Source organism: Homo sapiens, chromosome 7 (genome assembly GCF_000001405.40).
Source record: "Homo sapiens chromosome 7, GRCh38.p14 Primary Assembly".
Lineage (NCBI taxonomy): Eukaryota > Metazoa > Chordata > Mammalia > Primates > Hominidae > Homo > Homo sapiens.
The window spans coordinates 137,914,429-137,935,794 of NC_000007.14; the positions used below are offsets into that span (position 1 = coordinate 137,914,429).

General features: G+C 42.5%; 1 protein-coding gene across 3 annotated transcripts in view, besides 2 other annotated features; it reads right to left on the reverse strand.

Moving 5' to 3' along the window:
• Positions 1–21,366, reverse strand: part of CREB3L2 (cAMP responsive element binding protein 3 like 2) — a 127,108-nt gene that overhangs the window by 39,450 nt on the left and 66,292 nt on the right. For 2 of the 3 annotated variants that reach the window (NM_194071.4, NM_001253775.2), the window contains exons 2-3: positions 13,722–13,938; positions 1,409–1,584 (exon numbers count right to left, since the gene is read on the reverse strand). In NM_194071.4, coding sequence (NP_919047.2) covers positions 1,409–1,584; positions 13,722–13,938 — 393 coding nt within the window. Of the gene's footprint in view, positions 1–1,408; positions 1,585–13,721; positions 13,939–18,475; positions 18,561–21,366 lie in introns of those variants that run through there. The other variant, NM_001318246.2, reaches the window with a different exon arrangement.
• Positions 2,824–2,873: an enhancer, noted in NCBI's record as "active region_26730". NCBI's record gives its function as "activates an Ori minimal core promoter by ATAC-STARR-seq in GM12878 lymphoblastoid cells {active_cell/tissue: GM12878}" and the evidence as "EXISTENCE:reporter gene assay evidence [ECO:0000049][PMID:35858748]".
• Positions 17,093–17,308: a silencer, noted in NCBI's record as "fragment chr7:137616267-137616482 (GRCh37/hg19 assembly coordinates)". NCBI's record gives its function as "represses an EF-1alpha promoter that drives an FKBP-Casp9 reporter gene in an ReSE screen in K562 erythroleukemia cells {active_cell/tissue: K562}" and the evidence as "EXISTENCE:reporter gene assay evidence [ECO:0000049][PMID:32094911]".

Below are 21,366 nucleotides of genomic sequence, written 5' to 3' on the forward strand. Positions count from 1 at the left end.
CGAGACCAGCGTGGCCAACATGGTAAAACCCCATCTCTACTAAAAATACAAAAATTAGCCAGGCGTGGTGGCTGGTGCCTGTAATCCCAGCTACCTGGGAGGCTGAGGCACAAGAATCACTGAACCCGGGAGGCGGAGGTTGCAGTGGGCTGACATCATGCCACTGCACTCCAGCTTGGGTGACAGAATGAGACTTCTGTTTCAAAAAAAAAAGTAATAAATAAAGTAACTAAAATTCTGTGGAGCAAGGAGACTAATATAGACCAGAGAGCCCAGCCTAATAAAGAGACTCAGGTAGCTACTGAGAAAGGAATCCTAGCACACTTGCAGAGGCCTCTGTCTACAACCCTTCATCATCTACACAGATGGACTGACAAGGGAGTAAGCAGTGACACTTTAATGAGTCTACTGATTCTGTGTTACCATATTCTGAACAGGTAGACACTACATCTTTTTTTCTTTCTTTCTTTTTTTTTATTTCTTGAGACAGAGTCTTGCTCTGTTGCCCAAGCTGGAGTGCAGTGCCTCGATCTCGGCTCACTGCAGCTTCCGCCTCCCAAAGTGCTGGGATTATAGGCATGAGCCACCGTGCCCGGCTGCAGATAGACATTCTATCTTGCTCACAAGAAATCTGACTTAAGGAATGTTAATGAAGTTGTTGTTTATAACCTGAAGCTTTGAACTTAAGGGAAGCTAAGACAGGCTTCCAACACTTGCAAGAAGATGTACAAATACAATGCTGGTCCATGGCCAGACACTGGAAATATCCAGAAAGAAGGTAGAGTAGAATTAAATTCTACTTGCGGTAGGCATGGAATCTAGTAAGGAAAAAATCCTGATTTCTTATGCTTTCCACGGGTAACACAATAATAGGTGTTATTATTACTATTACTATTATTATAATGTTATTAATATTGTTAATATTATTCATATTATTATATGAATCAATACGTGGGACATTCCTGACTTGAGTAAGGACAACTCAGCATCTCACTAGGAAAGTAAAATATTACACAGGAGCTCACATTCCCAGTAGCCATGCACTGTAAGCCATGGATTACATCACCACTTCAATCACTCCCTTTCCACTGCTTAAAAATCAGTGCCATAGAGAAATTTTTTTTACCATAGATATTTTCTGTGTTTTTTATTTTGTAACAGTAATCAAAAAGAGAATGAAATCAGCTTAGCTACTAATTTTTTCCGAACAATGGCTTTAAAGGAAGTTGGCACCAAATCAACATACCCTTATTAAATGTATACATATGTATATACACACATATGAAGTTGCATGTCCTTAAATGTACACAGCCACTAACTCCAAAAAGATTAAACACCTTATTGGAGAATGAGGATCTATCTGTATCTTTTAATCCAACCTGTTTAAACAGACGAAAATTGAGCATACCCCAGTGTTCATTTCCAGAGGAGGTTCCTCCTTTTCCAACGGGGTGGAGATGGCTGTGATGGTCAGAGTGACAGACGGAACGAGTCCTGGGGGTGGTTCGTCTGTAACTGGCTCTGTCTTGATGGATGTTGAAGGGAAGTCTGTAGACAGGTACCATTTCTCACTTTCCACCTCATCTGCAGGAAAAAAGACAAGCACACATGTGAACTTGTTCAGGGCATCAGGCATAAGCAAAACAAGCGACCACTAGTCTTTCTCCCCAAAAAAGCTCAGTGAAGGATGATTGAAAGTAGAATAAAAGAAAATGAAATATGTGAGGGAAAAGATTGATAGATATGAACAGCAAAGAAAGAATCTATACTTGTATTCGCTTGCATGTGAGTATGCCTAAAGAAACTCTGGAAGGAATCCATAGAAAAGAAAGAAACTTGGCTTCCTGAGAAAGGCAGGAAGAAACCTGGGTTGATGGGGAATAGAATAGGAGGGAGGATTTTGAATATGTAATGAGCTACTCTTTTTGGTTGTCAAATCATGTAAATGTATTATCTATTCAAAAATAGATAAATAAGCACATTTAAAAACATGAAAGAAAGAAGCAGCCGGGCACAGTGGCTCACGCAAGTAATCCCAGCACTTTGGGATGCCAAGGCAAGAGAATTGCTTGAGCCCATGAGTTCAACACCAACCTGGGCTACAATGCAAGACTCTGTCTCTACAAAAAAAAATTTTTAACTAGCTAGGTGCAGTGGTGAGCATCTGTGGTCCCAGCTACTTGGGAGGCTGAGGCAGGAGGATTGCTTAAACCAGGAAGTCGAGGCTTCAGTGAGCTGTGATCACATCATTGTACTCCAGAGCCTGGGCAACAGAGTGAGACCCTGTCAAGAAAGAAAGAGAGAGAAAGGGAAGGGAGGGGGAGGGGGAGCGAGAGAAAGCAAGAGTGAGAGTGAGAGTGAGAGCGAGAGCGAGAGCGAGTGACAGCGAGAGCGACAGAGAGAGAGAGAGAAGCAAGCAAATGGTTGGTAACCAACGGGAGAAGATGAGAGAACATGGTGAGTAGGTCTCTCTCTCCTTCTCTCCAAAGGAAAGTTATTTGGTTTTTTGATATTTTTTCTTCTCACTCCATTTTTTTGTTTGTTTTTGTCCTCTTCTGTTTTCACTGTGATCCCACCTAGCCTTAAACCTAACTTAGACTTTCAGAGACTCTGCTTAGCCCTTTGGGAGACTTTGGTTTGTAATAACCATCTGCCCTTTGCTGAAATGGACAAAATACTCTTCCTGAGAAAACAGCTGCATCTTGGTGAGTCTGGGTCTTGTCTTTCCTGATTATCACCAGGCCTGGAGATAGCTAACAACCGAGAGACAAGACGGAACAGACAGAGTGCCTCTGCCACTTAATGCACATTCTTCTCAGAGTCTAAAAGAATAAGAATTTGTATTTCTTAACAAGTTACTTTGGAGCTAGCGCTCAGCACTGCCTGGAAAAGCCGGGAGGAGGGAAGGAAAGGAAACGACCAGAGGGTTGGAAACAGCCACAGAACAAGACAAAGCAAGCCAAAGGCAACGTTCCTTAGCTGATACCAGTTTTACTAAAATGAGGCTAAAATAAAGCAAAGACACGCTCCTTTGCTTTCTCAAAATGCTTACACACATACACCACATTTCACATACTTAGTGACCCATGACTGTCAGGAGAGCAAAGTCGTTCACATTATAAATTTATTTTACATTCAAGAATGTGACTCCAGTTTTCTTATGAAAAGGTACAATCATTTAGAACCGCTAAGAAGAAGGGAAGGGTAGACACAGAAACTAAGAACTAAAATCTACGATTATTAAAATTATGTTTCATAAGTGACTTCTTTAAAGCACAAAAATGTTAGGTTCATATTTGAGGAATGATTTCCCCCTTAAATCCAGTTTATAATTGATGAATTATCCCAGCCTCAATTTATTTCCCAAGGTGAAATAAAGACAGGATGGGCAGGTGGTGGAAGATGTTTTGCTTTTAGAGTGGGGCTGCTGAGTGCTATGGTGTGACGGGGATTTCCATCCTTCATGGGGTGTGCGCCACATCCTGGTGGAAGGGGAGGGCGGGGGAACAAAGGGCTCTCTGATGGCGGCCAGAGGAGGGAGACCACTCTGTACTGGACTCAGACCGTGCCCCAGCTCAGCCCAGAGATGGAGCAACTGGACCACGAGCCAAAAGATTCCGTTGACTCTCCCCAAAGGAGCTTAGGAGCTAGAAGACAATGTCCGCTGCAAAGAACACCCGCTTAGGACAGTTAGGGAAGGGCTGGAGAGACAGAGACCGCATAGATCCCATTTTTTCCATTCGGCAATGACATGGTGATGCTTTTGCTTTTTGTTTTGTTTTGAGACATTCTTGCTCTGTCACCCAGGCTGGAGTGCAGTGGCACCATCTCGGCTCGCTGCAAACTCCGCCTCCCGGATTCAAGCGATTCTCCTGCCTCAGCCTCCTGAGTAGCTGGAATTACAGGTACACGCCACGACGCCCAGCTAATTTTTATATTTTTAGTAGAGACGGGGTTTTGTCATGTTGACCAGGCTGGTCTTGAACTCCTGACCTCAGGTGATCGGCCTCCCAAAGTGCTGGGATTACAGGTGTGAGCCACCGTGAACAGCCATGCTTTTGCTTTTTGAAGTCAACACTTAAAGCCTGCCCACACTGAGTAATATTTATCCCTGGCAAAGGCTGGAAGAAAGACGGTAGGATGAAATATAGCCTCAGTACAGGCTGAAATGGACGGTAAGGAAGCATCCCTGAGAAAAAGGTCGCACACAATTACCAGGAAATTGTGAGATAAGGCCAGATCCCTTGACTGTGCAGTGAAGGCAACTGTGATGAAACTTAATTCACAAGGCAAACAAAAGAAGAGGCAAAAGTTAAAAAAAAAAGTGAATACAAAAAACAAAATGAAGATGGGTGATAGATAGAATCAGTTATTCCAATCTAGTGAGGCCATTCTCAAAGTGTGCACATTCGTAAAACAAGTCAAGACCATTTAATATTCTTAATGCCCAGTGTCCTATAGCCCTCTTTACAAACATACAAATATCATCAGTGCTGCCTCAGGGAATGGAAACCACAGGGCAAGTGATGGTACTTGAACTATAAAAGGAAACCTTCTCTCTCAAGGACAACTGTACATTTCCAAGAGAGAAGCCCAAGGAAGCGGCCTCTCCTCCCCTGAGCTTTTTTGAGGGCAAACAACAGGCGCTGCTTTCATGCTTCCATTCCAATACAGCAATTTAGTCCTTGATCCTGAAAGATGCTTTAGAGTTATAAAGAGATTTAAGGCCATTGAGCTCAAAGATATCTTTTTTTTTTTTTTTTGAGACAGTCTTGTTCTATCACCCAGGCTGGAGTGCAGTGGTGTGATCTCGGCTCACTGCAACCTCCACCTCCTGGGTTCAAGCGATTCTCCTGCCTCAGCCTCCCAAGTAGCTGAGATTACAGGCGTGTGCCACCAAACCTGGCTAAGTTTTGTATTTTTAGTAGAGACGGGGTTTCACCATGTTGGCTAGGCTGGTCTCAAACTCCTGACCTCAGGTGACCCACCCGCCTCAGCCTCCCAAAGTGCTGGGATTACAGGTGTGAGCCACCACACCCAGCCTATCATTTCTAGATGAGGAAAATGACACCTGGGCCTAGGTCACATGGCAAATTAGTGGCAGAACCCAGATCTCTGCACTCTGGCCAGTAATCTTCCCATTAACAAGAAAACTTTCTATGTGGATAAAGATTATGCATAAATAATGCTCACTAGGGCATTGTTTATGATGACAAAACACTGAAAATAACCAAAACATTAAAAAGCAAGAGAAAGGTTAAGTCAATTATGGTGCATCCATACAATGGAATATTTATGCAGACATTAATATTACATGTATACAGCCTTTTTAATTACAAAGAAAAGACTTATAATGAAATATTAAGACAAAAACTCTAGATAAAAATCTATAACTATTAAAGAAGAAAGTGATAGAAAAGCATCAAAAGAAATATGCCAAATAGTAAGCATCTCTGGATAATCGTTCAGAACATGAATGACTTTTTCTTTAAATTTTATGGTACTTCTAGATTTCCAACCTTGGGACACTATTGTCTTTGGATGAACACACAGGGACATGGCCTGCTCCACTTCATGGCTTAGGATGGTAATTATTGGGTAGAGGTTGTAATTGCCCATGGGGGTGTTTAGAAGCCCTTGACTCAGTAAGAGTCAATGAGACCCTTATTATGTAAATAAGTTGCATTCCTGGCTCCAGGTCTTCCTCCTCCCTCCATCCATGTCTTTTGCCTTAGAATTTTGCAGTGACCTCCCACCTTGGGCTGATCCCCACCCACAGCTTGGTCCTGTGGCTTGATGTACCATTGGTATGTGAGCTTTTTAATACAAGCGGAGTTTTGGAATGTGCTTGCAGGATGGAACTAATGTTGCTGTAGTTTTGCCATCAGCATGAGAAGAATGAGCTAGGATAATCTAGTGATCTCAGGAGAAGGATGACAGCCACATAGAACAGTCACCTCCAGAGGAGCTTAGTCAAGACCAGCCAACTATTAGCTGACCTTAGAGATGCCAGTGAATCTAGCTGAAACTAGCAGAACCACTCTGCTGACCCCCACACAGAAACAGACAGGTAGATTACGATAATAAATGACTGAGTGACTGAGTTTGGGGGTGGTTTGTTATGCCGCAACAGAGCTAGCTGATACAATATAGCCGAATGTATGAAAAATAAATTAAACCCATTACATTAGAATCTATTACAATGAAATGACTACATTCATTTCCAAAATAATTCTCTAAACCATCAACTATGGATCATATCAATAAATGTTTGTAGATTGGCTGATCAGACCTACTAGTTACATCACAAAATACGAAATGACTTCATATGAAGAAAGTCAGCCAGTAAGTAGTTTGGTGAGAACAGCATTCCAGTGGTAGCTGAAATGAAAGAAAACAGCTTTCATTCTGAACTACTGGAGGTTGGCTTGTACTCTCTTACTCAATGGAAATAAATATCAAATCACAGAAAACAAAATGACAAATGTAATCTATGAAGTGAGGGTTAAGGAAGGACAGAGTAGAGGAGAAGGAGCAGAATATGTATCACAATGTTTCTCCATGTCCTTACTTTTGTAGTTTTACTTTATTGGCAAAAAGATCAGTAGGGCCACCCTGGCTTAGAACTGGAATTATCCTTGGATGTCTTAGTTATTGGCTAAACCACAAACATAAGAGTCAGTAGACACTCCACACCCTCTAATTTCTAAAACTTGAAGCTGAGATACCGAGTGGAAAAAATAAAAATGTTCTTTCCGCATTGTGTTTATAAGTCTTTTAAATGTCATTTCAGACGAAAAACATCCCTGGTAAAGTTTAGCAGTCCACAGTTTGGAGAGTAAGAAGAACAACCCCCATATCAGCTGATTTAAACAGCTTCCTGTCAAAGGTCAAACTCGACTGGCACATTTCCTCAGCTTCACCACTTAACTGTCAGCAAGAAAATAAAAACAAGCCACTGATCGTGGTGAGAAGCAAGTCCTTTACATCCAAAGACAAAATGGTGCAGCCATGAGCAATGGGGCTAGATGCCAAGTTATCAAATCATCAAGATAGGCAAATCATCAAAGAGACTGAAAAAGACATGAACTCAAAGCCAAGGTAATAGCAACATCAAAATGCAGATCTTCCATCATTTCCATAGGTGCCACGTAGCTAAGCGCATTGAATGGATACTGATTGCTAAGAAAGAAAAAAAAACCCTAAATTGGGAGTTGGCATTATCTTGATATATTATGAAAGGAAAATAAAAATTCATGACCCCAATCCACTATGCCAAAGGGAAAAATCAAGCTGAAAGCTGAGTCATCCAAGAAACTGCCTTTCCTTTTATTCCTAAGCACAGTTATATATGAAAGGTTAAAGATCTCCACAGGTAGACACTCTATGTCCACCTTTTTCTTTTCTTGCTCTGTCACTGCAGCCTTGACCTCCCAGGCCCAAGCGATCCTGCCGCCTCAGCCTCCCAAGAAGTTGGGACTACAGGCGTGCGTCACCTCACCCAGCTATTTTTTTTTTTTTTTTGATAGAGATGAGGTCTCACTGTGTTGCTGCCCAGGCTGGTCTCAAACTCCTGGGCTCCAGTAATCCTCCTGCCTCAGCCACCCAAAGTGCTGGGATCACAGTCATGAGCACCCAGCTCAACATACATCTTATCTTATGAAAAGTGTTGATTTACTGAGCACAAGATGAATGTGTAATGGACTATTCCCCTACCTGCTCCTTTTCTCTCTTGCAACATATGGATTACCGTACCCTCCCTCTTTTCCATTCAGCCACTTTTCCTTTAAATACTCAAGTCCTCAAAGTCATCTTTGGAGAAAGGCACAGACCACAGATTTTTTCTGTGATTCTGTGTTTATTTGTTCTGGGTATGTCTTTAACCTTGGCAAAATAAACTCCTAAATTGATTGGGACCTGTATCAGATACTTTCTGGTTTACTATATATATATATGTATATATATATATATATATATATATATATATGTATATATATATATATATATACGTATATATATATATATACACACATATATATATACACACATATATATATACACACACACACACACACACACAATATATATATATACATGTGAACATAGAGAGAATGGGCATTTATTCTTAAAAAGGGAAATCAGATGACGTACTACCACTTACATGAGAAAAACACATACGCAGTTGGTCCTTGAACAACACGGGTTTTGAACCATGCGGGTCCACTCACAAGCAGATTTTTTTCAAATAAACGTGGATTGAAAATACAGTATTCATAGGATGCAAAACCCAAGCACAGGGAGGGCGGACCGTACATCCATTTACTATTTATGTAACATATCTAAAGTGAAAAGAAAATTTTATAAATTAAATAAATATGCCTCATCTAAATCCTTTAGCATTTCATTTGTTTGCCCTTTGAGAATTTTCAAAGGAGTTGGCAAATCTTGAACAATTTTTTTATGTAAAAATCTCTTAAAGGAAAAATATAATGGCTAGGCTCTGGAAGCTGGGGAAAGGGGCAAGAATTCAGTTAAATGTGTCAGAATCATATTAAACTACAGCCCACTACATGCTCCAATGGAAGTTACAGGCCTATCTCCCCCTGGCCCGTTCCTGAGTATCTTAACCCTGAAATAACTTTCAGTATTGAATGGCATGAAGAGGTGGTGATAGTAGTAGAAACAGAAAATATTTACTACATCCTTTTTTCTTCAATGGAGAAGTTATGACTCTCATGTATGAATATCCAAAGTAACTGTAATCGCTGGATTAATGTGAACATTGCTTTCTTATACTAATCTAGCACTGCAATGGCTACGCAGAGAAGTCATTATTTTACTTTTTTCAAAAAATAAAAAGGGGAAACATCACTATTGTTTTTATCTGTTTGGAAAAAAGTAAAAGGTAACACCAAAAAAGCGGAGGAATAGCAAAATAGCGTGTATTACAAACCCAAGCTTCAGATGGAAGAGGTCAACTGTTCCTCTGCCTGTCCTCCCCAATCACTGTCAGGTTCTCTCTTTGGCCGTGCATGACAGAGGACCCAGTGACTCAGTAGATACACATACTTTTCTCTTCTACCCCTGAGTCTGGCTACTCTACGATGATTCAGAGTGATGTTCTTGTCATCAGCTCACGCTATATGTGATGAAGACACCGTTATGCACCTCATTTCTGTGATTTTCAAGTCTCACTTCTATGGACCATGTCAACATCAAGATCTCTTCAACACTGCAAAGCAAAAACCTAAGTCATCTCTGACTCATCTCTGCCCCTTCCTCAGCATATTCGATCCTGTGCTTTTCCTGCTGCAGGTTTCATCAAATCATTTCAAAACCCATTTTTTCTTTGCCATCATGTTATATACCTTTCCACTTCTCCCTGGATAACTATATCAGTGCACACCTTCCCTGTTCTCGCATGGCAGCCATAAGATCTTCTGTGTTTCATCTAAGCTCCAAAAAATGTGATCCTATGTTTCTCAGTCCCTGCTTCCCATCAGGCAGAGATAAAACCCTAGTCCTTGCCCTTCTCCAGCCTGTCCCACTTACCCCATGTGACTTTGCTCCAGCAATATCCGCTCACCTTTACCTCACAGACTACTGTGTTCATTCCCACCTGAGAACACAGCTCCATAAATTTAAGGTATCTGTAGTGAACCAGCCTACCCAGCCATCCCTTGCCACTGAAAGCCCTACTAAATTCATCAGGAGGAAGATGATTCTTATCCATGTTCCTGGCCCACCCTGTGTAGACCTGGGACAGCCATAGTCACGGTCCTTTGTTCCACCCTTGACTACATTTGTGATGCAAAGGTAGTATTAGACCACTTCTGTATTAGCCTATTTTATGCTAAGGTCTGTTGATAGTCTATATAATCTTTAGCTCTGTTCTTGTATCATCTTAGAGGATAGGGGCCATGTCTGGTTCTCTCTGAACAGCCCTCATCCAGCACTAGTTTCTTCTTTAGGAAGAACACCAAAATTAAAGGACAATGCAAATGCATACCTAGCATCCCAACTGAATTACACAAAGGAACATGACTGAAATATAGTAACTCATAAAGACAACCTCCATGTGGTGAGGTACAAGACTTGGTCATTCAAATACAAGCTTTTGTTTCTCAAAGCATAAAAGTATCATAAATATTTTGCTGGGATGCTTCTGCGTTTCTCTCTTAACCTCATGACATGTTTTTTTTCTTCTTCCTTCTTCCTTTTTTTTTGGTGTTTTCTTGTTGTTGTTGCCTTTTTTGTAGAACAGAAAACCTTGCTTAGCATCTGGTTCACAGCCTTAATCACAGGGAGAAATGGCTGAGCTGGATGCAGGATGTCTTTCTGGGGGTTTTGAAGGCTGCACCTACATTTCTAGGGTTGGCTCCTGTGGTGGCTGGGCCACATGAAGTTCCTTAGCTCTAGTGTTTCAGAAGTCTACAAAGTCCCCCTGAGACAGATGATTCCTGTGGAATCTTAGAACAGTTATTTTTAACTTTTTTTGGTCACAAACTCTTTTGAGAATCTAAGAAATGATATAATAACTCTCAAAAAATTAACAAATGTAGATAGCCCACATTTTTGTATACAGTTTTAGGGGTCCACAGTTCATCTGAAGTCTGTGATAGAATGATAGGATAAGAACATCTGTGTGTGCCCTTTTCAGTTGTCCTGGGGTTCAGGTGGAGGATGGAGGGAGGAAGGGAAAGTTAGGAGGAAAAGGGCAAAGGAGGAAGAGGGAAAGAGAAGAGTTCTAGTGGGAAGGAGAAGGAGAGAGGGGAAGCAGGAGGCAGAGGGAGAAAAAAGGAGAAAAACTCTAATAAATTAGGAGGGAGTTTCCACTTAACTGTGTGTCATCACTCTTTTTCCAGGCTTAGAAGCAATTGCAGAAGAACTGTATTTAATCTAAGTACAATTGGACAGTGAGAGCTGAATCACTGGCTTTCCCAGGTATAATGAAATATTAATTCCCCATCTATCACTGAACACAAGGACTCCTAGTTTTGCTTAAGCTATTATCACCATGCAGCAGATAAAGAATATAAAATGTAATGTATATAGCTGTCTATACATGCTACATATTTATGTGTTGCCTAAAAATAACCATCCTTCTCCATCAGGGTGGTTATCTGCTCTAACAGAGCACTTGGGTTTGGAAGGAATACTTGTGGATTGATTCCCCCACCCTACAGATCGCCACCTTAAGGGGGATGCAAACTGGGGTTCACATGAATAAAATAATTCTGTTCCCAAACATCTGCCCATCCACACAACTCAGAAAAATAGATCCAGACAAAGCTTTGCTGAACAAGTTCCCCATCCACTCATCCACACTGCCTCACTCTGATTTCACACATCTTAAATGAGTAGTATCCCGTGTTTGTTGTCTTGCTTTTGCTGGCCTAGGAAAGTGACTTTTACTCAGATAAGACACTGGTACTTCAAAAAAGCTGAACTGTGGATCAGAAACCCTTTGTAAAATATATCTGACCCACTGTACCTGTTCTCAGCAAATTACCAGCACGGCCTGTCACAGCCTAAGAGCTATAAATAGAACAAAGCCCCAGCTGGGGGAACTGAATGGTGAATGCTTTGGCCTCACAATTAAAGGGCATCTCATGCCATTTAGAATGGTGATCATTAAAAAGTCTGGAAACAACAGATGCTGGCGAGGATGCGGAGAAACAGGAACACTTTTACACTGTTGGTGGGAGTGTAAATTAGTTCAACCATTGTGGAAGACAGTGTGGCGATTCCTTAAGGATCTAGAACCAGAAATACCATTTGACCCAGCAATCCCATTACTGGGTATATACCCAAAGGATTATAAATCATGCTGCTATAAAGACACATGCACGCGTATGTTTATTGCAGCACTATTTACAATAGAAAAGACTTGGAACCAACCCAAATGCCCACCAATGATAGACTGGATAAAGAAAATGTAACACATATACACCATGGAATACTATACAGCCATAAAAAAGAATGAGTGCATGTCCTTTGCAGGGGCATGGATGACGCTGGAAACCATCATCCTCAGCAAACTAACACAGGAACAGAACAGGACCCGCATGTTCTCACTCCTAAGTGGGAGTTGAACAATGAGAACACATAGACACAGGGAGGGGAACATCACACACCAGGGCCTGTCGGTGGGTAGCGGGCAAGGGGAGGGACAGCATTAGGACAAATCCCTACATGATGGGTTGATAGGTGCAGCCACCTTCAAAAGATGCTGCCATATGTACAGTGGTATAAGAACAAGAGGTGAACACCAACACCAAGAAGGTCAAGTTAGTGAGTATTCCTCACCATGTCATCCTCCTGTAAAGAAGAAGGCATATGCTGGACTGGGAATAGGAAATAGAGTTTTTAAAATTTAAAGTACTAAAATAGCTGGCTATCCCTCTAGGAAAACAAAACATAGAAAATTAAATTTAAACCTGGGCATGGTGGCTCATGCCTATAATCCTAGCACTTGGGGACGCTGTGGAGGAAAGACCACTTCAGCCCAGGAGTTCAAAACCAGCCTGGGCAACATAGTGAGACCCCCATTTCTACAAAAAAATAAAAATAAAAAAATTAGCCAGGTGTAGTGGCACATGCCTGTAGTCCCAGCAACTTGGGAGGCTGAGGCTGAATGACTACATGAGAGCCCAGGAGGTCAAGGCTACAGTGAGCTGAGATCATACCACTGAACTGTAGCCTGGATGACAGAGCAAGACCCTGTCTAAAAAAGAAAGAAGGAAAGAAGGGAGTGAGGAAGGAAGGAAAGGGAGGAAGGAAAGAAAATAAAGAAAGAAGGAAGGAAGGGAGGGAACGGAACGGAACAGAACGGAAAGGAAAGGAAAGGAGGAAGGAAGGAAGGAAGGGTGGGAGGGGAAGGGAGGCAGGGAGGGAGCGAGAGGGAGGGAAAGAGGAAGGGAGAGAGAAAAAGAAGAAAGAAAAGAGAGAAGGAAGGGAGGGAAGGAGGGAAGGAAGGGAAGGGAAGGGAAGCAAGGGAGGGAGGGGAAAGGAAGGAGGAAGGGAGAGAGAAAAAGAAAAGAAGAAAAGAAAAGAAAAGAAAATTACACTTAAAAGATATATATGCCTTGGAGAGTTTGGAACAAGATACAGCTTTTACCAATTAAGGGCTGTAGAGTAATGGTCAAAACATCTTAACATCTCTAAGGCCAGAAAAACTAGACCTTCAACAAATACCACACTCATGGCATTGATGATGGGCATGAAAGGGTAATCAACAAGAAAGTCTAGGAATGTCCACTAAGATCTGGGGTGGGGGACATGGGGTCAATAGAACATGATGGAATTGGGTTGAGAGGATGCCCAAGAAGCTTCTATAGAGGAATAGTTCTTTCTCAGAAAAAAAAAAAAAAATGGCATGACCCCTTGAAACAAGAGACTTACTGTACTGGTAGGAATGACCAGCCAGATAGGCCGGCCTGATTTGCAAAAGGCTGCTCTGCTGCTGAAGCCATAGGGTGAAAGAGAGTAATGACCATCCTTCAGTTATAGCAAGTTCCAAGGGAACCTGGGCAGTGTAGAGAAATGGGTCCTGGGCCTCTTTGCTTTTCCCCACAGCCCAAGCACAAGGCCGTACACACTGTAGGTATCTCACTAATAAGGGTGCTGACACCCTCTTTAATATAATACACACTCCACACCCTCAAGAGCTCAGAACCAAAGGCGCTAAGGTCCAGGTCTTCCTCCTCCTCTGAGTTTACCGTCATTGAAGCTGTCACTGGTGGTAATGTGGGTGAAGGGCGACTGGGCCCGAGGCTCCTCGCACAGGGAGTAGCTGTGCTCAGCCTGGATGAGAGGCGCCGGGGACGTCGGGGAAGGTTCCACCTCCATTGACACACTCTTCTCTGAGAGGAAAGGATCATTCAGGAGCTGACCCAAGACGTTCTGGGAAAACTCATCCAGAAGTTCTGAGAAGTGCTACAAGAAACAAAGGAGGAAGAACTCAGTTTCTCTTAACCATAATGTGACAGATACCCTACGCACATACCAAATACCTCATCCACTGCTCGATATGAAGTCCCTTCTACACACACAATGTCCAGTTAGCTCGTGCTGTGTAGCAAACCACCCCAATGTTTAGTGGCTGAAGGTAACCATAATATTAATATATTACTTCTCCCTCCTCCGTGGGTTGGGCTGGGTGGGTGAGCTGATTTCATCTGTGTTCCCTGACACAGCACATTAGTGGGAAGGCTGGCTGGGAGTGTGCTGGGCTGGGACCCCTGGACACTTGGGCCTCTTTCTCAAAAGGAAAGATCAGGCCGGGCTTCCTCCCATGATGGCAGAAATCTTCCATGAGGGAGAAAAACCAAAGCTGAGTGGCCCCAGACATCACGCATCATTACACCCTCCACATTCTTTTGGTCAAGGCAAGGGACAAGACCAGCTCACACCCATGGGGCGGGAAAACAGACTCCACTGCTTGATGAGAGGAATGGCAGAGTCACAATGCAGACGAGTGTGGACAGTGCGGGGGGCATGATTCACTGGGGGTCCTTGCTATCATGACCTACCACATTTTGCACTGATAATATGTTTAAATAAGCAATCCTCTGTTTCTATAGCACAAAGGTGCAGTTTACACTAAGGTGCCATGCTCAAAAACATTAGAGGTGGCTTCTCTCTAGTCTCCCCATGGGCTAGACTTTGTTCCTCTCTGGTTTTTCCTTAATATGCTCCCATCCTTCATCTCTAATACCATGAACTTTCCAGCCCCCACCATGCTTTGGACATAATATAGGACTAGCCCATATAAATTCCCCGGGATTCCCATATCCCCTGTGACACTGTACCACTCTAAAGGAGCTGCAGCCCCATCCACTCTCCCTCCTTGATAGGTCTATATTCATGGTATGAGGATCTTCAGAGCAGGGTTTCTCAACCTGGCACTAATAACATTTTGGACTGGATAATTCGTTGTGAAGGGCAGGGGTGGGGCATTGTTTTGTGCATTGTAGGATATTTAGCAGCATTCCCGGCCTCCACCCACTAGATGCCGGTAGCACTCCCCCAGTTGTGAAACCAAAAATATTTCCAGACACTGCCCAAATGTCTGTAGGTGAAAAAGTCACCCCTGGTTTAGAATCACTGCTATTGACTATATTAGAAATAATAATAATAATATAAAATAGGGCCAGGCACGGTGGCTCATGCTTGTAATCCCAGGACTTTGGGAGGCCAAGGTGGGCGGATCACAAGGTCAGGAGTTTGAGACCAGCCTGGCCAACATAGTGAAACCCTGTCTTTACTAAATATACAAAAAAAAAAAAATTAGCTGGGTGTGGTGGCAGGCACCTGTAATCCCAGCTACTCGGGAGGCTGAGGCAGGAGAATCGCTTGAACCTAGGAGGCAGAGCTTGCAGTGAGCCAAGATCGAGCCACTGCACTCCAGCCCGGGCAACAGTGCAAGACTCCATCTCAAAATAAATAAATAAATTAATTAATTAATTAAAATAATTTTTTTTTTGAGACGGAGTCTTGCTCTGTCGCCCAGGCTGGAGTGCAATGGCGCGATCTCCACTGCAAGCTCCGCCTCCCAGGTTCCCGCCATTCTCCTGTCTCAGCCTCCTGAGTAGCTGGGACTACAGGCACCCGCCACCACGTCTGGCTAATTTTTGTTTTGTATTTGTAGTAGAGACAGGGTTTCACCATGTTAGCCAGGATGGTCTCAATCTCCTGACCTCGTGATCCGCCCGTCTTGGCCTCCCAAAGTGCTGGGATTACAGGCGTGAGCCACTGTGCCCGGCCAATAAAATGAAATTTTAAAGCCCACTTTGGCACTAGCTATTAGAGATTTCTGCCTTCTTAACATTCTCTGAATCACAGACCAATGGGTGTCATCCTTACTGATTAAACTTTAGGGACACTTCTAGTATAGAAAGGAAGTTAAGAAAGCAGACACAGCAATAAGAGAACGATGGCAAATAATGAGGCTTGGGGTAAGCAATACAATTCTTGGGATTCACTTGGACACCTAAGTCCCACCACCAAACTGAAGTGTCAATGAAGGCGTTATGAAAATGAACACCAGAAGGGAAGATGGGAGATGTCCCTAGAGCTGGCGCTCTAAGATCAGGGTAGTTGTAGAACAGGATGCTTCCTTTAATAAAGAAGAAAAGCGAACAGCAGAGAGGAAGCTTCTGCAGGCTCAGTCCCTAAAGAGTTAGAACGGTGAAATTCACTGACATCACAAACACGGGACATGGCATTTCATCAGGACAGAATGCAGGGAAGCTACAGGACTTGGGCATGTCCTATAGGCATGATTGTCTATGAGAACAAGAGACAGGGTCAGGGAGAGAGCTCTCTGAGTACAAATACATTTCAAACTGGAAGGTCCTTAGGAGTATTTAAGGCCACATGCCAACTGCCTGCATCACAATTACCAGGGAAGTTTGGGTTAGTCATTTCATAATGAAATATTGTAAGCATTCAGAAAGATTATACATATCATGAACAATTATGTAGTCATTCCTTTTAAAAAAAAAAAAAAAGAAACTGGGCTGGGCAAGGTGGCTCATGCCTGTAATCTCAGTACTTTGGGAGGCTGAGGCAAGAGGATCAGTTGAGCCCAGGAATTCTAAACCAGCCTGGGCAACATAGTGAGACACAGTCTCTACAAAAAATACAAAAATTAGCCAGGCATGGTGGTGCACGCCTGTAGTCCTAGCTACTCAGGAGGGTGAGGAAGGAGGATTCCTTGAGCCCAGTAGGTCAAGACTATAGTGAACCATGATTGTACCATTGCACTCCAGCCCAGGTGATGGAGTGAGAACCTGTCTTTAAAGAAAAGGCCAAGCACGGTGGTTCACGCCTGTAATCCCAGCACTTTGGGAGGCTGAGATGGGCGGATCATGAGGTCAGGAGATCGAGACCATCCTGGCTAACATGGTGAAACTCTATCTCTGCTAAAAATACAAAAAATTAGCCAGGCATGGTGGTGGGCACCTGTAGTCCCAGCTACTCAGGAGGCTGAGGCAGCAGAATGGGGTGAACCCAGGAGGCGGAGCTTGCAGTGAGCCAGGATCACTCCACTGTACTTCAGTCTGGGTGACTGAGCGAGACTCCGTCTCAAAAAAAAAAAAAAAAAAAAAACTGGCCAGGCTTGCTTGGTGGCTCATGTCTGTAATCCCAGAACTCTGGGAGGCCGAGGAAGGTGGATCGCTTGAGGTCAGGAGTTCGAGGCTGGCCTGGCCAACATGGTGAAACTCCATCTCTACTAAAAATACAAAACTTAGCTGGGGGTGGTGGTGCACACCTATAGTCCGAGCTACTCAGGAGGCTGAGGCAGGAGAATCACTTGAACCTAGAAGGCAGAGGTTGCAGTGAGCCGAGATCACACTACTGCACTCCAGCCTGGGTAACAGAGTGAGACTCTGTCTTAAAAATAAATAAATACAATTTAAAAAAATTTGAATACAAAATTTAAAAATCTTATTTTTACATGGTTGCTGCTGTAATCTTTCTTTTGTTGCTTTTTCTTTCTTTTTCTCAAGAAATAAAACATGAAGGACTGTTAAAGCTCCCATCCATTCCCTTCATCCCTCTCAAAGTTAACCATTAGCCAGACTTGGTGTTTATCTTTCCCATCCAGGTCTTTATCCTTTTACTACATATGCATGTATCCATTACACATAGGATTCTTTAAAACGTTAAGTAAATGGTACCATATCTCATATTTCCTCTGCAATTTTCTTTTATCAAAAACATTTTTTTAGATTTATTCATGTTTATACACGTAGCCCTGTTTCATTGATTTAAACATCTGAATTCTATTCCATTGTATTTATCCATTTCCTCTTGAGGAACCCTCACATTTTTATTGTATGTAACATTGTAAAAAAAATTCCTTAACATAAAGAGAACTTTAAAAAACACAAAAGTTTTGTTTTCAGAATGTGGTTTAAAGGCATAAATAAATAAAAACATACAAATTTGATGATCCACCCTCAGAGACTTTGACTTAGGAAGTTAAAGACGTCTATATTAAAACTACCACCTAGGCCGGGCGCAGTGGCTCACACCTGTAATCCCCACACTTTGGGAGGCAGAGGTAGGCAAATGGCTTGAGCCTAGGAGTTCAAGGCCAGCCTGGGCAACATGGCAAGACCCCATCTCTACAAAAAATAAACAACAACAACAACAACAACAAAAAACTCACACCACCAGTCCTTCTATGCTCACCTCAGTTTCTCAATCACTGGCTCCATTTCCACTCAACAGTCCTCTCCCTACGCCACTTTACAGTTAAGTCCCTAGAAGCTTACAAAGTTCCTACAAGTTCAAATATGCCCAAGGTAAGAGGAAGATTCAAGGATTTTGCAGCTACTGTGTGTTAAACTTCAGACAGACGCTGGGGATACAAAATAATAAATAAGAAACTAGAAAATGCCCATGCCCTGCCAGAGTTTACCACTTAGGTCAGTGCTCAAAGTTTTATGTGCAGATAAATTACCTGGGGCTCCTAAGCCGTCGCTTCTGACTCACAGGTCTAAGCAGGCCCGAGATTCTGCATTTTTCATCAGCTCCCAGGTAACGCTGTGACTCCACAGACCACACTCTGGGCAGCAAGGAGCAGAACAGTGGCAAGGCTAAGATTAGAACCAGACTTCCTGATTATACAACAATCTAAGTCAGCATCTGATTGCTTAAGTAGCTCCCCAAGGACAAATTTCCTGGTTGCCTGATGGTGACTATTCTACAACTGTTTGACAGAGATCCTTTGAAGACAAAACTAAGTTAACAAAAAGAGAAATAAATAACAGAATGTAACACGCAAATGCAAGAGGTAAACCCACAGTCCCTGCATTTCCAAGCCACAGTTTTGTTCCCTGAACTACAAGGTCAAGTCCCGATCTGCTGTGCTGGCCACTAAAGCTCTGGAATCCCATTCTATCCCGAGGCAACGCTCTCTTTGATTGGCCAGGCTTTCCTATGGAAGTTGCCCAGGTTGGCGCACTCTGCTGACACTCTGTTTTCTTTCTTCTGAGCAGCACTAATGAATGTTTTCATGAACATCCCCTGGATAACCAATAATAAACGTTCTCTAACTCTGCTAACTTTCCCTGAACTCCCCCTACTTTGGATTATGCAGTAATTCTCATGTTACAAACCATTCAGCACTAACGATAGACAGTTTTGAAGCATTCACAGTTGTTATCAAGTTTATTATCATAACCTCCCCTCTGGAAAAGGATCCTCCTCAGAAGTCTAACTGTGCCTAAACACCCACCCACACCCAAGAATTTAGCAAGGTGGTGAGCTCTCAGTAGGTTCAGGGAGATCCTTGTGATGGAAAAGAAACCGGTTCCAACCAGATGCTATGACTCAGCCCAGCAAATTAGCTCCAGCTGGGTGTCCTTGGCAGTGGTGGGCTCCAAGACTCAGCAGACAGGTCAACATCCCATTGCTGGTGCCAGGATCGGGCCAGAGTGGGCCCATCTTTAATGCCAGCCAGTTGGAAAGGGGCCTTATGGTCCTGAAGGCCAAAAACCAGAGAAAGGAGCAAAGTGAGCCTCGAGGAGGAAGCCTTTCTGGATACTGCAAACGCTTTAGCGAAGTACTGCTCATGTGAACCCAAGGGTTATGGGATTTTAGTTTAATTCCTTCAAAGGCAATGGCATAATAACATTTTAGCATTCTAATATTTGAATCAAACTTTATGAGTTTACAAAATAATTTCATAACCTTTTTCTCACTCAATACTCACGACAATCCTGTAAATTGGCTTTTAGTCCATTGTCCAAGATCTCTGTCCCCTACTGAGAGACCTTGAGCTAGGGTACTCATGTCAAATTGACTGAATTTTTTTTCCTTATTGTTTCTCCTAGGAAAGAGATATTTAAGCCTCACAATACAACTGTATGGAGAGGTTCTAACAAGTGTAAAACCATGATGGTGATGATCATGGATAATGATGTTGTCAGGATTAGGTGCTAGACTTGTGTGATGGACTAAGTACTTGACATACTCGATTTTCAGAAAATGAAAACATGTCCCCATTTACAGATCAGAAAACTGGGGCTCAGGATAATTAGCTATTTTGCCCTGAGATGCACAGCTGATGAAAGGTGAAACTGATATTCTAGCCCATGTTCAGCCAGTTCCAAATCACAGGCACTTTCTACAGCATGCTCCCTCATTTGTGTCAGCCTCTAAAGCTAGATAAAGATAGGCTCACAGACGGTCATCCGCTATGAACACATGGTCTCCTGCACTAAACCTGTAGAAACATGCCAAGAGTTTGTTAGAAGGAGAGGCTCCTGGTATCACTTGCTGTGATACATCAGCAATAAGGATGGAGATACTTATTCGGCCTTAATGCATGTTTCTGCCAAAGGATTCAAGCAACATCACAGAATCTCTCAGTTGGAAGAAACCTCCTAATAGGATTGAACCCCTGCCTCACAACATAAATGTTCTTCACCCAGTTCAGAGAATACACATGGCAACTTCCCTTAAAAATTTGTGTCAAGTTTTATCTCCCCATTATCTTAAGATTCTGAATTAAACATCCTGCAACTATCCCATAAAGTTTTGTCTCCCTTTATTCTTATAAACACAACACCTTCATTGCAATCCTAATGGTCACAGTATGGCATTGTGGCAATGTAGCTTTGGAGTCAGTCAGCCCTAAATTTGAATCCTGGCTGTGCAAGCCTGAGGAAGATATGTCCATACTCCAAACCTTGGTTTATGAGGTTAACAATAATGCCGGCAAAGTGAAGTTAACAATAGTTCCGGCCTTGTGTCATGAGAATTAAACTAAATAATGCACGTAATACACCTAACACTTCACTGCATAGCAATCTTTTAAAAAGCTCTTTTAAAAAACTAACATAATTAAAACAATAAAATGTTGGCATTTTCTACTTGCACACCAGCTTCTCGCATTGTTCTTCCTAGAATATGCTTTCATTTTCATCTTTACCAAACAGGAAACTACCTAAGACAGAACAAATGTACTTCTTTTAGAAAGTCATCCCTAGACAGATACACCTTGAATTGATCTCTCATTTCCCTAAACAAGTAAAGCCCTTTAAGTATCTCTTAATTTGACACATTTTTCCTTTTCTTTGATGTTCCTTTCATTGCCAAGTTACTTAAATATCTTATCACTAGGCCTTCCAAACTCTATGGCCCAGATGTAAACCGTTTACCCACCCCTCTCTCTGGACCTAGCCCAGATCAGAGATCATAGATCGTAGATAGTTGCTGCATTCAACAACTATCTCATTTGCATCTATTATCATTCTATAACATCCTAACGAAATAGAAGATAAATCCAAATTAGGGCTAGATCTCCCAACAGTTATAAATAAGTGCCTTCAAACATTTAAAATGTAT